Source organism: Homo sapiens, chromosome 17 (assembly GCF_000001405.40).
Source record: "Homo sapiens chromosome 17, GRCh38.p14 Primary Assembly".
NCBI lineage: Eukaryota > Metazoa > Chordata > Mammalia > Primates > Hominidae > Homo > Homo sapiens.
Window position 1 is genome coordinate 4,321,269 of NC_000017.11, and position 14,462 is coordinate 4,335,730.

General features: G+C 39.9%; 1 protein-coding gene across 1 annotated transcript in view, besides 1 other annotated feature; it reads right to left on the reverse strand.

The window, feature by feature from the left end:
* Positions 1-14,462, reverse strand: part of UBE2G1 (ubiquitin conjugating enzyme E2 G1) — a 97,417-nt gene that overhangs the window by 52,010 nt on the left and 30,945 nt on the right. The window lies entirely within an intron of this gene.
* Positions 11,888-12,801: an enhancer, noted in NCBI's record as "H3K4me1 hESC enhancer chr17:4236451-4237364 (GRCh37/hg19 assembly coordinates)". NCBI's record gives its function as "activates a minimal SCP1, AML or CMV promoter by ChIP-STARR-seq in primed H9 embryonic stem cells {active_cell/tissue: H9 hESC(primed)}" and the evidence as "EXISTENCE:reporter gene assay evidence [ECO:0000049][PMID:30033119]".

The window sequence follows — 14,462 nt, forward strand, 5'->3', positions numbered from 1 at the left end:
AAATGTTTACTTCAATGTATTATCCCAGAAACACTGTAGGCAACTATTTCCCTACAGCCTTGCTAACACTGGGTACTTTTACTGCTGGCTAACACTGGGCATCCTTCTGCCACTGGCAATTTATCTTTGGTGCATTTACATATTTTTATTCCCCCACCCCGTTTTTTTTACATTGAGTGATTCTCTTTTTTCTGATTATTTGGATGGGCTTTTTAAGCATTGTGGCCTTCTTTCTTTTTTTGGAGACAGAGTTTCACTCTGTGGCCCAGGCTGGAGCGCAGTAGTGTGTTCATGGCTCACTGCAACCTCCGCCTCCTGGGCTCAAGCAATCCTCCCACCTCAGCCTCCTGAGTAGCTGGGACCACAGGCACAAACCACCATGTCTGTCTTTTTTTTGTATTTTTGGTAGAGACAAGGTCTTCCTACGTTGCCCAGACTGGTCTTGAACTCCTGAGCTCGCCCCCCAACCCTGCCCACCCAAGTGCCGGGATTACAGGTGAACCCAGCCAATTTGCCCAATGTTTGTTGCTATTACTTAGAGTCTAAGGGATGAAGGCAATATTTACATTTAAACCCCTAATTTTCCTAGGCTATTAGTGTGCGATTCAAATGTGTGTCTATAAAGTTTATTATAATTAAAGCAAAAGTTTGAAATTTGAAAATTAGCAACATAATTTTTCTTTTTTATATTTTGATTGGACTAAGTGTGGTATGAAACTCAAAAGCCAAACAAGTCAGAATGACAGCTTTGTCTACATTTTGAAATGCAACAATCTGAATGACAGGTTTCTAACATATGACCAAGTATTAAACTACTTTTAATGGAAGTATAAGAAGTGGATTCACATAAAATGCACAAAGTTAAAAACTGGAACAGGTAATACAAATACAAGATGTTCTACTCACAAACACATATTAAGATGGTGTTGATTCCTCATTCCTCTAAGTAGTCTCCACCCACTTCTTGACATAAGAAAGAAAGAATAATGTAAGCAGCAGACCATGCCAGGTCCAATCCAAGATTTCTTCCAAAGGGGAACAACAGGTGTGATTATGTCAAAGTAGCTGTGATCTGCTGACACTAACTCACCCTCTGTTGTATCTTCCTATCATGCCTTGAACTCCTCCTCAAACTCTTCCCTAAGATGGCATTAGGAGATTATATTTCTCTAATTCAAATAACTATTTATTTGTATGTGCTTCTTCTCCTTATAATCACATTAGCAAAAGAAGAGAGCCCTGCTGCATGATCAGAAATGTTGTGCATGAAATATAACTTCTACTGAAAGGCATCTTGTACATGATCTTCTCCACATTAAGTAAAAATGGCTTCTAAGAAAATGGGGTGTCCTGGGAAAATACAGGTGAACCTATGTAAGAGGCCTAGGAAAGTACAAACACTGAAAGAAAAAATTGGAAGTAATGCATTTATTTAAAGGCAAGGGAACCAAAAGCTGAGCCCCTGACTTTAAGTATATCCCCTGTATCACACATAAGACTGTTTCTATGCAACAGAAATACAAATGGAAGGCAATGTTGATGTCTAACAGTTACGGTAATACTTCATACAAAAATGTATAACCACCAGCAGCATGGAACCACCGAGCACTGTGGCAACAGCAATGTGCATTTCATATCTCCGAAGTGATGGAGGTGAAAGGAGAGAAACAGGAGAATTTGGTGAGCAGCTCAGTTGCAAAGCAAGCCCTGAATTGTTTGAGAGGTTTAAGAACAGTACATAAATGCATAACATTAAATATCACTGATAAATAAATTAGCTTCTGCTGATAGCGAGACTGCAACAAACTTTCCCCCAATGAATTGCAGAAAACTATTAATAAAGGAGAAATATTGGAAAGCAAATTTATAACTGACAAAAATAGACCTTTCTTAAAGAATGCCATCTTGTGCTTTGGTAAGAAATTTAAAAAGAAAACGTGTCAGGCTAACATTGCTTTTATATTTAAAAAATTGAGCGATGTTAAGCTAAAGCCTTTGCTGATATACTCTGAAAACCCAACAATACTTAAGAGCAACCTGTAAAACAAAAGTAAGGACTCATCACAACCTATGAGATTAAATATCAATTACTGATGCCGTTTCTGATGCAGGATGATGATGAAGACAAAACTCCTTTAATTAAGGATTTTAAGGAAGAACCTAAGAAGGCATACGAATTCATCAAAATGAAAATGAATTAATCAGATAAGAAACTAGTCCCTTTCAATTTATTGCTGACCTCCAAAGTTTAGAGAAAGTCATCTCCCAAAGGAAAAATTATTAGATCTTACTAAGGAGACTGGGCTGAGAGAACAGCTTTGTCGCCCAGGCTGGAGTGCAGTGGCACAATCACAGTTCACTAAAGCCTTGACCTCCTGGACTCAGGCAATCCTCCCGAGCCTCCTGAGTAGCTGGGTCTATAGGTACATGGCACCATGCCCAATTCATTTTTATATTTTTTGTAGAGGCAGGGTTTCACCATGGGCATCATGGTCTCGAAGTGGGCTCAAGCAATCTGCCCACCTCGGCCTCCCAAAGTCCTGGGATTACAGGTGTGAGCCACTGCACCTGGCCAGTAACTAGTATTTTTAATGCTTTATATAATGGAAGAAAGGGGTGGAAATTTGTTACATAGATATATTTAGAGCATTTCATTTGCAACCCTTAATGTAATAATCCAGGCAAGGATGATCAATGGATGCTAAAACCATTAAGTGAAAAGGTCACTGGAGAACAGAATATGATGCCCAAGCATCACCCCACAGATTACTCACCAGTAAAAAGAGATAATGCATCTTCGCAACGGAGAAATCTGGCAATCACCAAATAATTGTTCGAATTTAGAACCATTAACCCAAGAATGTGTATCTTCTTATTTGATGCAAAATGGTATACACAAGCTTCATCTATGACATACTCTTGCCCCTCCCCCAAAATGTTTACACTGAATCAAATCAAGCTTCTTAGGTTAGACCTGCACTTTCTAATATAATAGCCACTAGTCGCATGTGGCTACTGAGCACCTAAGAAGTGGCTAGTCTTACTTAACATGTGCTGCAAATGTAAAATATAAACTGGATTTTTGAAGACTTTGTGAGAAAAAAGTTATGCTGATTCCATCTTGAAATTATATTTTGGGTATATTGAGTTAAATGAATTATTAAAATGAATTTTACCTATCTTTTTACATTTCTAAATGTGGTTACAATTTTAAAATCACACATTAGGCTTTCATGTGTGGTTCCCATGTTTCTATTAGATAGTACTGCTACAGTTTGCAGGAAATCTAGGGGATGTGGAAATAAGTGAAACAATTGCTTTATTTATAAAGTGAGATAGGGGTCTCACTATATTGTCCAGGCTGGTCTCAAACTGCTGGATTCAAGTGATCCTCCCAACTCAGCCTCCCAAAATGCTGGGATCACAGGCATGAGCCACCATGTCCAGCCAGTTAAATGATTTCTTGAGAAAATAATTAGAAAAATCCACAATGTTGAATAGGATACTCTATTTAACAACTAGTTTAAGGCCGGGCGCGGTGGCTCACGCCCGTAATCCCAGCATTTTGGGAGGCCAAGATGGGCGGATCACGAGGTCAGGAGATCGAGACCATCCTGGCTAACACAGTGAAACCACGTCTCTACTGAAAATACAAAAAATTAGCCGGGCGTGGTGGCAGGCTTCTGTAGTCCCAGCTACTCGGGAGGCTGAGGCAGGAGAACGGCGTGAACCCAGGAGGCAAAGCTTGCAGTGAGCCAAGATCGCGCCACTGCACTCCAGCCTGGGGGACAGAGCGAGACTCCGTCTCAAAAAAACCAACCAAACAAACAAAAAAAACAAAAAACAAAAAAAAAAAGTAGTTTAAAATCTTCAAAAATTCAATCTGAAGAGGATTCTTAGGGCCATCAAAGTATTCTGTATGATACTATAATGGTAAGATACACGTCAAATATTTCTCTAAACCCATAGAATGTACAATACCAAAAGTGAACCCTGATATAAATGATGGGATTGTGGGTGATGACGTGTCAATGTAGTCCATCAGTCATAACTCTATTTCAGTAGTTTTAAAACTTCAACCAACTATTTCTTCACCTGCTAGCAGTTACATGGTTTTTGTTTTTAAATAACTCTTAAAATTGTACATATTTACATTGCATGTATCACACATATGTACACTATTCTGTATAAGTGAATATATGAAAGAGACATATGCTGGAAAGACAAAAGTAAAATAAAGAGAGCTTAAGAGACTTCTAAACAACTGAATCTTTTCCTCAAACACAAAAAAATCCACCCAAAGCAATTTACAAATACAATGTAATCCCTGTATCAAAATCCCAACAACTTTTGGAAAACCCATCCTAAAATTCACACCCCAAATTGCCGAAACATTCTTGAAAACAAGAACAAAGTTGGAGAACTCACATGTCCTGATTCCAAGGCTTACTACAAAACGACAATAATCAAAACACTGTGGTATTGGCAAAAAGACAGACATAATATACACCAATGAAACAAAATAAGAGCCTAGAAATAAAACCCTTGCATATATGGCCAACTGATTTTCAACAAGGTTGACTAGACCGCTCAATGAGGAAAGAAAATCTTTCAATAAACAACACTAGGGAAACTGGGTATCCATAAGCAAAAGAATGAAGGTGGATTCTTTCCTTACATGATATGCAAAAAATAACTCTAAATGAACTGAAAACTTAAACGTAAGAGCTAAAACTTTAAAACTCTCAGGCGAAAAAATAAGAGAAAATCTTCAAGACATTGGATTTAGCAACAAACTCTTGGACATGACACCAAGAGCAATAGAGACAAAAGAAAAAATAAATGATCTGGATCAAAATTTAAAACTTTAGTTCATCAAAAGCAACCCCCAAAAAAATGGGAAAAATATTGTAAATCACCTATCTGATAAAGGATTAATATCCAGAATACAAAAAGAACTCATACAACTCAATAACAACAAGAAAACCAATGCAAAAATGGGCAAATGACTTGAATAGGCATTTCTCCAAAGATAAAAAGATGTCTGGTCAACAAGCACAATGCAAAGATGCTCAATATCACTAATAATAGAAGAAATTCAAAACCACAATGAGATACCACTTCACACCAATTAGAATTGCTATTAAACACACACACAGAAAATGACAAGTGTTGACAAGAATGTAGAGAAATTAGAACCCCATGCATTGCTAATGGGAATGTAAGAGGATGCAACCATTGTGAAAGGCGGCATGGCATGTCCTCAAAATATTAAACTTAGAATTACCATATGATCCAGCAATTTCACTTCTGGTTATATATGCAAAAGAATTAAAGCAGGGGGTCAAACAGATGTTTGTACACCAATGTTCAAAGCAGCATTATTCACAACAGTCAAAACGTGGAAACAACCCAATTGTCAACCAACAGATGAATGGATAAACAAAATGTGCAGTATATACATACAACAGGATGTTACTCAGCTTTAAAAAGGAATGAAATTATGATACATTCTACAACATGAATGAACTTGAAAATATTATGCCAAGTGCAATAAGCCAGATACAAAAGGATAAATATTGTATGAGTCCACTTACATGAAAATACCTTGCAGCCAGGTGCAGTGGCTCACACCTGTAATCCCAGCACTTGGGAGGCCAAGGTGGGCAGATCACCTGAGGTCAGGAGTTTGAAACCAGCCAGGCCAACATGGCAAAACCACGTCTCTACTAAAATACAAAAATTGGCCAGGCACGGTGGCTCACGCCTGTAATCCCAGTACTTTGGGAGGCCGAGGCAGGTGGATCACCTGAGTTCAGAAGTTCGAGGCCAGCCTGACCAACATGGCAAAACCCCGTCTCTACCAAAAATACAAAATTAGCCAGGCATGGTGGCTCATGCCTGTTAATCCCAGCTACTCGGGAGGCTGAGGCAGGAAGAATCGCTTCAACCTGGGAGGCAGAGGTTGCAGTGAGCCGAGATCGCGCCACTGCACTCCAGCCTGGGTGACAGAGCAAGACTCTGTCTCAAAAAAAATACAAAAATACAAAAATAGCCGTAGTGGCGTAGTGGCGGGCACCCCTAATCCAGCTACTTGGGAGGCCGAGGCAGGAGATTCGCTTGGAACCGGGAAGCAGAGGTTGTACTGAGCCAAGATCACACCACTGCACCCCAGCCTGGGCAACAGAGCGAGACTGTCACAAATAAAAGAAACAGAAAAAGAAAAGAAAATACCTTGAGAAGTCAAACTCAGAGAGAGAAAATAGAATGGGGGTTGCCAGGGGCTCAGGATAAAGAGGGATGAGGAGTTACCGGTTTGTGTGTTTGTTTATTAAGACTTAGTTAAGTACAGTAGTGAGAAGGGGGAAGAGTAGAATGGAGTAGTTAAAAAGTCCAATATACATATCAGAAGTGTGGGACACATCAAATGGAAGCCAAGCATATTCCTACCTCCTTGTGTGGCAGGTCCTAAAATACAGACGGACTGTGTCATTACTCTGAATCACCCTCAAGCCTTCGACGTGGCCCACACCCAAAGACAGCACCATTAATAACCTATCACGTACTTAGGATTCCTCCCAATACAGTACTCAGCAGCCACACCCGCCAAATAAATCCATGATGAGACATCTGCCATCCTTGCCTTAACATAAGTGACCTCTGAGAACAAATCTGCCCTTCTCTTCCTTCTGCAGGAACCCTTTCTCCTTTCCTTTGTGTAGAGCTTCTCCTGTGAAAGGCCCATTTTGGCCCATGTGCAGTGCAAGTAGACCGATACTCTCAGTCTCACTGTTAAAGAAAGAGAGCAGAAATAACTCCGAATGGATCACCAAAATTTCTTAGTTTTGGAAAGAATATCAAATTCCACCAAGTTGCAAGTCATCATTTCAGAGAATGGAAACTCAAAGCCTTGACTAGAATGATGGTTAATCTGGTTCTCCCAGCTGAGAACCCATATATTAAGCTAAACTAGTCTGGCTTTATTTAAAAACTAAGTAAACAAAATGAGAAATGCTTTTCACAAGTTAATTTTTAAAGTAAATGTACAAGGTGTATATTGTTTTATGTTGTCCAAAATATCAACATACTGGTTTTGCAAAAGCCCTTTACTACCGTATGCATACAAAAAAAGTTCTTCCCTTGGGTGATTTAATAGACCTAGTAAATGTCAGATAACTTAAATATTTTCGCCAGCAAGAGATACAGTAAAGTCTATGATTTTGATCTGAATTCAGTGCCCTGTACCCTGACTACTGCAGAGGAGAAGGCGATAAAATAAGAGGATGCTGTCATGCTTGCTCCTTAGCTTCTTTTGCATTCCTCTACATCTTATTCCATTTACAAGTTTATCTGTGTGAGGTACCAAGAACCCATAAAACAACCCTGAAGTTATTTATACATTTATTCAAACTTATAAAAGAAACCTAAGCACGTAGAAAATTGGAATGTAGCTAAGTTTTTTTCAAAAACAAATTAGGAAATTATTGACTGCCACTTGATGGGCTTCTGTGCTGCACTAACAACATGACAATGGTGGGCGGGGCGCGGTGGCTCACGCCTGTAATCCCCGCACTTTGGGAGGCCGGGGCGGGCAGATCACGAGGTCAGGAGATCAAGACCATCCTGGCTAACATGGTGAAACTCCGTCTCTACTAAAAATACAAAGAATTAGCCAAGGATACAAAAAATTAGCCAGGCGTGGTGGCGGACGCCTGTAGTCCCAGCTACTCAGGAGGCTGAGGCAGGAGAATGGCGTGAACCCGGGAGGTGGAGCTTCAGTGAGCAGAGATCGCGCCATGCACTCCAGCCTGGGTGACAGAGAGAGACTCCGTCTCAAAAAGAAAAAAAAAAAAAAAAAAAAAAGACACTTCTGTAATCCTAGCACTTTGGAAGGCCGAGGCAGGCGGATTGCCTGAGCTCAGGAGTTCAAGACCAGCCTGGGCAACATGGTGAAACCCCGTCTCTACAAAAATACAAAAAATGAGTCAGGCGTGGTGGAGTGTGCCTGTAGTCTCAGCTACTCCAGAGGCTGAGGCAGGAGAACTGCTTGAACCTGGGAGGCGGAGGTTGCAGTGAGCAGAGATCGCACCATTGCACTCCAGCCTGGGTGACAGAGCGAGATTCTGTCTCAAAAAAAAAATTAGCCGGGCATGGTGGCATGTGTCTGTGGTCTCAACTACTGGGGAGGCTGAGGCAGGAGGATCGCTTGATCCCAGGAGGTAGAGGTTGCAGTGAGCTGAGATGGCACCACTGCACTCCAGCCTGGGTGAATGAGACTCTGTCTCAAAAAAAAAAAAGAGACTGAGACTCTTCTTTCCACTATTAAACAACTTCTTAGAAGACACTATTTCCATAATTTAAGGACTTTAATATATTTAAAATGTAAGACATTTTTGTGGTTGGTTAAGGATTTCAACCATGACTGAAATCAGGGTTGTCTTCAAAATAATACTGATGTATTTTTTGTAACCAATTCATAAACCATCTCTCTCTTTCCAGTATAACTTTTTCTTACTATCCTGACTAGTCCATTGCCATTAGGCTTTTTTAAAGGTATGCTTTTTTTTTTTAGATTTATAGTAACGTCAGTAAGGTTCTCTTAGACTAAAACTAAATAAGGACTAAACTATCACCAGTAGCAGTTCCTAATCGAATTAAGCCAAACAGTGAGAAATTCCCTGATGACAATTCATGACTCACCAGGAGAAAGCTTAAGTATCGTGCTCTTTGAGTGGAAAGACTAGCTTAGCTAGACTACCCAGAGCCATGAGTTATTGCATCTACAAAGTTTTACACGTATGACGTAAAAGACTAGTTTAGCTAGACCACCCAGAGCCATGAGTCATGCATCTACGAAGTTTTACATGTATGAAGTACATTCATGGAAGTGTCTAACAATTTAACACCATCTATAGTATGGGGCAACAGGAGACATGGGGACAGCAACAATCGAAAATCTAAATGATCCACAGATTTTTAACACAAGCCAAAGCCTAATTGTTTCTAAATCAACTGCCGCCAAGTTTCTCCCAGGCACTTTTCCATACGCCACTCCAAATTCAAAGCTATCTTCACATTTTGCATACTCTTATTTGATTTTAGGAATGGGAAACATTACTCTAAGTGTCAAAAAATAAATAAATGGGAAAGCCTACTTAGCTGGATGATTTTAAAAAAATAAAATTTCAGCCAGTCGCGGTGGCTCATGCCTGTAATCCCAGCACTTTGGGAGGCCAAGGTGGGCGGATCACCTGAGGTCAGGAGTTCGAGGCTAACCTGACCAACATGGAGAAACCCTGTCTCTAGTAAAAATACAAAATTAGCCAGGCATGGTGGCACATGCCTGTAATCCCAGCTGCTTGGGAGGCTGAGGCAGGAGAATTGCTTGAACCCAGGAGGCGGAGGTTGCGGTGAGCCAAGATCGCACCATTGCGCTCCAGCCTGGACAACAAGAGTGAAACTCCATCTCAAATAAATAAAATATATTTTATTTATTTATTTATTAATTAGAGACGGGGTTTCACCATGTTGGCCAGGCTGGTTTCAAACTCCTGACCTCAACAGATCTACCCACCTTGGCCTCCCAAAGTGCTGGGATTACAGGCATGATGAGCCACTGTGCCCTGGCCAGAAAAATAAAATTTCTAAATGCCAAAATAGCCATAAAAAATTAAAAGGCAAATAATTACTCTTATAAACCTTTAAAACCACACACACACACACACACACACACACACACATTCCAAACTGTCAAGGTGTTCACCTTTCTTGGGAATTTTTAAAATAATTTTCTTTTTACCTAGCAGAATCAAACATTTTTTAAAGTTCCTGGTGGTATGAAGAACACAATAAAAAGTGGCACTTTGATACAGTTAATAGTGGAAATACAAATTAGCAAAGCCTTTCTAGAAGGCAATCAGTAATATTTATGAAGAACCTCAAAAATATTTATTTTCCTTAACTAAGAAATGACCAGAAATTTATCCGAAGAGAAATAATCAAGGATTATGTATAAATGTTTTCATAAGGAAAATCCACAGAAGCACTAATTATAATTTAAGTGGTTTACAACTATAATTTGAAAACCCAGAAGTCAAGATGTGGGGAATATGATAGTAGCAGCATATGAAGGAATGCTATGCATCTATTTAAAATACTTTACAAGAATATTTCAGGACATGGGGAAATATTTACAATTTTTAAAAGATAAGATATTCTGAATATATCTAACTCTTAAAACACATACACTACACACTTTTGACAACAAAAAGCTTTGGCCTAATCGTGTCTTCTAGTTCAAGGTGTCAGTGCGGGCACATGTGCTTATCTCCTCTTCCCTCCTAAGAAGTTAAATAAATTTTTCTAAAGAAATTAAAAAATAACTTTTTAATTTAAAGTATATTAAAAAGACCAGGTGGATTGCCCATGGCTCTGAAAGATGAAAACGGATGGAAGAACGTGAACTGAGTAAGCAGAGTGGAGGGAGCAGAGAGCAGAATACTCACAGAGGAGCTGCAGCGAAGGAGGAAGGCTAATCTTCTGGGCAGAACCCCAGAGAGGCGCCAGTTCAGTGACCGTCGTACGAGGGAGATCAGTAGTGAGAAGTGGGACTGAAAACATCTGTCATAGCAAGAAGTCAACAGAGAATGTCTAAAGTTGATAAACCAAAACATAAACACTATAAATATATTATTTAGAAGCATGGAGTTAAGCCCCCAGGAGATCTGAACCTAAAAGGTTTTAAAAAGCAGTTGCCTCTGGGGAATTCTTCATTATCCTTCACTGAATGCATTGTTCACTATTAGGCCTCTTGAATCACTGGTATTTGATTATTTGGGTTTTTTAAAGCTAAGTATATATACATATACATAATGTTGATTTTTAAGTTTTTATTCTTTTTTTATTTTACATTGTGTTCACTTTGCTTTCATACACAAACCTCAATTTTACTTCTTGTCCACTAAGTCAGAGGCTATATTCTATTTGGCAGTGTTTTTCAACCGTAAGTCACACAGTCATGAAATAGATCTAGTGGAACATAACCAGCACTCATTTTTCCTAACAGAAACAAAAAATAAAATAGGGTTATTGTTGGTGAAGCTTTCATTTCAGCCACAAATGTTTAATAAAAATGCATGTGCTGGGGTACTATGGAAAATACCTTCCCTATTGTATCTACTCTCAACCCAGCAGGCAGAAGTAATCCTGGAAAAATGTGAGTCACATCATGTCACTATACCAACAGCTTCCCATTCTCACTCAGAGCAATGGCCTGTGTGATGGCCTATAGGGTCCTTCAGAATTAACCAGCATCTCTCTCCAACCTTCAGCTAACCGCTCTGCCACCGCAGGGGCTTTAACCAGCATCTCTCTCCAACCTTCAGCTAAGTGCTGTGCCACCTCCCTCCAGCGTTCAGGGGCTTTAACCAGCATCTCTCTCCAACCTTCAGCTAACCGCTCTGCCACCTCCCTCCAGCGTTCAGGTCAGCCCCATTTCAGGGCCCTTGTGCTTGCCTCACCTAACCTCTGCATGATTCACTCATTCACCTGAGTTCCTCGGTCCACTGTCACCCTATTTTTAATGAAACCCCACCCCCTTACACACTCCTTATTTTATCCTCTTTCCCTGTTCTAGTTTCCACACAGCACTCTACACTTTCTATTAATTCTTCTCTCCCCTACCCTAACTACAAAGCAAGCTCTATAAGAACAAGGGTTTTTGTTTATTTACTGATATAGCCCCAGGACCTGTGACAGTCTCTGGCAGTAAATATTTGCCCAAGAAATGAATTACTTAAAAATATGTATCACTTTAGGAAAAAGCCATGTTATTGGCAATGAAACACAACAATTCTTAAGTTTGGAACACAAGAAATTTGGGTAGGAATTTTGATGGTTGAGGATAAGCTACAATTCAGACGCCAGACCGTAAATTCCACCTATCGCAATATTGAGTAAGTTGCTGGCATACTCTAAATGTGCAAGTCTACTGAAATGACCTTCGTTCACATCAAAAGTAATGTAAAGAATGTGTGTATCTCAGCCATCATTTTAAAAGAAGAGAAGAAAAAAACTTACGGGCGAAGCTGTTCCCTAAACAGCTAAAATATGTAAAATGTAAAAGACGGGCCGGGCACGGTGGCTCTGTCTGTGATCCCAGCACTTGGGAGGTCGAGGCAGGCAGATCACCTGAGGTCAGAAATTCGACACCAGCCTGGCCAACATGGAGAAACCCCATCTCTACTAAAAATACAAAAATTAGCTGGGCGCTGGCCAGGTGTGGTGGCTCACACCTGTAATCCCAGCACTTTGGGAGGCTGAGGCGGGTGGATCACAGGGTCAGGAGATCGAGACCATCCTGTCTAACACAGTGAAACCCCGTCTCTACTAAAAATACAAAAAATTAGATGGGTGTGGTGGCACGCACCTGTAGTCCCAGCTACTGGGGAGGCTGAGGCAGGGGAATCTCGAACCCAGGAGGCAGAGGTTGCAGTGAGCCGAGATTGCACCACTGCACTCCAGCCTGGGTGACACAGTGAGACTCCGTCTCAAAAAAAAAAAGTAAAAGACTTACACCTTTTGCCTAATTCGCAGTCAAAGTCTCACTCTTAGTAACCACAAGTTGTACACGTTCACAGTTTTCACTATTCCCTTCAACCCTGAATGAAGACCAGGGGGCTTATCACTGATCACCTTCATTTCCTCAGAAGAAAACAAAGACTGGCATTCAGGAGAAAATCACATAGCAGGTCTTGAATTGTGGCACGTGAATGGCAGAACATGTCAGTTATAATTTCCATGGTTTTTTTTTTTTGACAGGGTCTCACTCTGTTGCCCAGGCTGGAGTGCAATGGCATGATCATGGCTCACTGCAGCCTAGGCTCCTAGGCTCAAGCCATCCACCTGCTTTGGCCTTCTAAAGTGCTGGGATTACAGGCATAAGCCACCATGCAAGGTACATTTCCATTATATTTTTCTAGCACATTTTGTAATTCACTGAATGAAAAAAAAAAATCTTTGGGAAAAAGTCATTGAACACTTCTCCCTCATAAACAAAAAAACACATGGCAAAATCAGATTTCTACTGTGTACAAAAGTTTATCCAACTGTAAAAAATAGTATCTCTAAGCCTGCTTTTCTATATTTCATGCCATTAATAAAACACAAGACTTGATAAAACCATTTTACTCATCACTTCTTAGAGAGTAAATTTTAATATTAGTCACTTGTAACTGGTTTTAACCCATCTTCTCAAAAACAATGTGGTTTTACCTGTTTGTTTGTTTGTTTTTGAGAGGGAGTCTCTGTCGCCCAAGCTGGAGTGCAGTGGCACAATCTCAGCTCACTGCAACTTCTGCCTCCCCAGTTCAAACGGATTCTCCTGCCTCAGCCTCCCGAGTAGCTAGGATTACAGGCGCCCACCAACACGCCGGGCTAATTTTTGTATTTTTAGTAGAGACAGCTTTCACCATGTTGGCCAGGCTGGTCTCAAACTCCTGACCTCAACTGATCCACCCGCCTCAGCATCCCAAAGTGCTGGGATTACAGGTGGTTTTACCTGTTTTTACTGTTAAGTAAAAGTTTTTTTTAAAAGAGGAAATAAATGAGACAAGTTGAAAGAGCAACTCACAGACATAAATATATAAAATTGAATGAAGTACTGAAGCCACTGGCAAAATGAAAACCCCATCATATATAGGAAGTAGTCAACCTGATACTGATGAAAACAAACATGATATCAAACAAAATCTCAAGAAAATCACATCGAGCACAGCAGAAAAGAACAAAGGAAGCATTTAGAAAAGTAATGAAATGGAAGACAGGAAATGAAGATAAACAATCATAAAACTGATGTTTCTTGAGTAAAGAAAAATAAAAATGAATGCATATTAAAAGGTGTATAAGAAAATATTCCTGAATCTGCAGTTTGAATGGCTTACCATTTAACAGGAAAATGTAAGAGAATCACACCAAGACCGAGTTATATCCTGATGAAGTTACTGAACTTCAAGGATAAAGAAAGAATTCTAGCAATACTCAGGCAGAAGTAGGTCACCTACAAAGGGAAAAAAACAGTCAGGCTGGCCCCAGACTTCTCTAGAGTAACCCTAGATGCCAGAAGATAATGGAATAGTGTCTGCTGGGTATTAAGAGAAAGGGAAACGTAACCCAAAAATTCTGTAACCAGCCAAAACATCACGTTGCTTGTGAAAGCCACTAACAGACATTTTTGAACATAAGAGCACTCAAACAACCACTCCTGAAAAAACTATTTGATAAACATAATAGATTTAAATATATTAAAGCTATAGCTTTATAATACCCATAGAACTACAAACTACCATGTTTAATCTATTCTAAGATGTACCTTTTTCACATTTTTGTCTATCTGAAATCAGCATGCATATTTCAATCAATGGTACGTCATAGTTTCTTTGACAGCATTTAACTGTATTAATGGT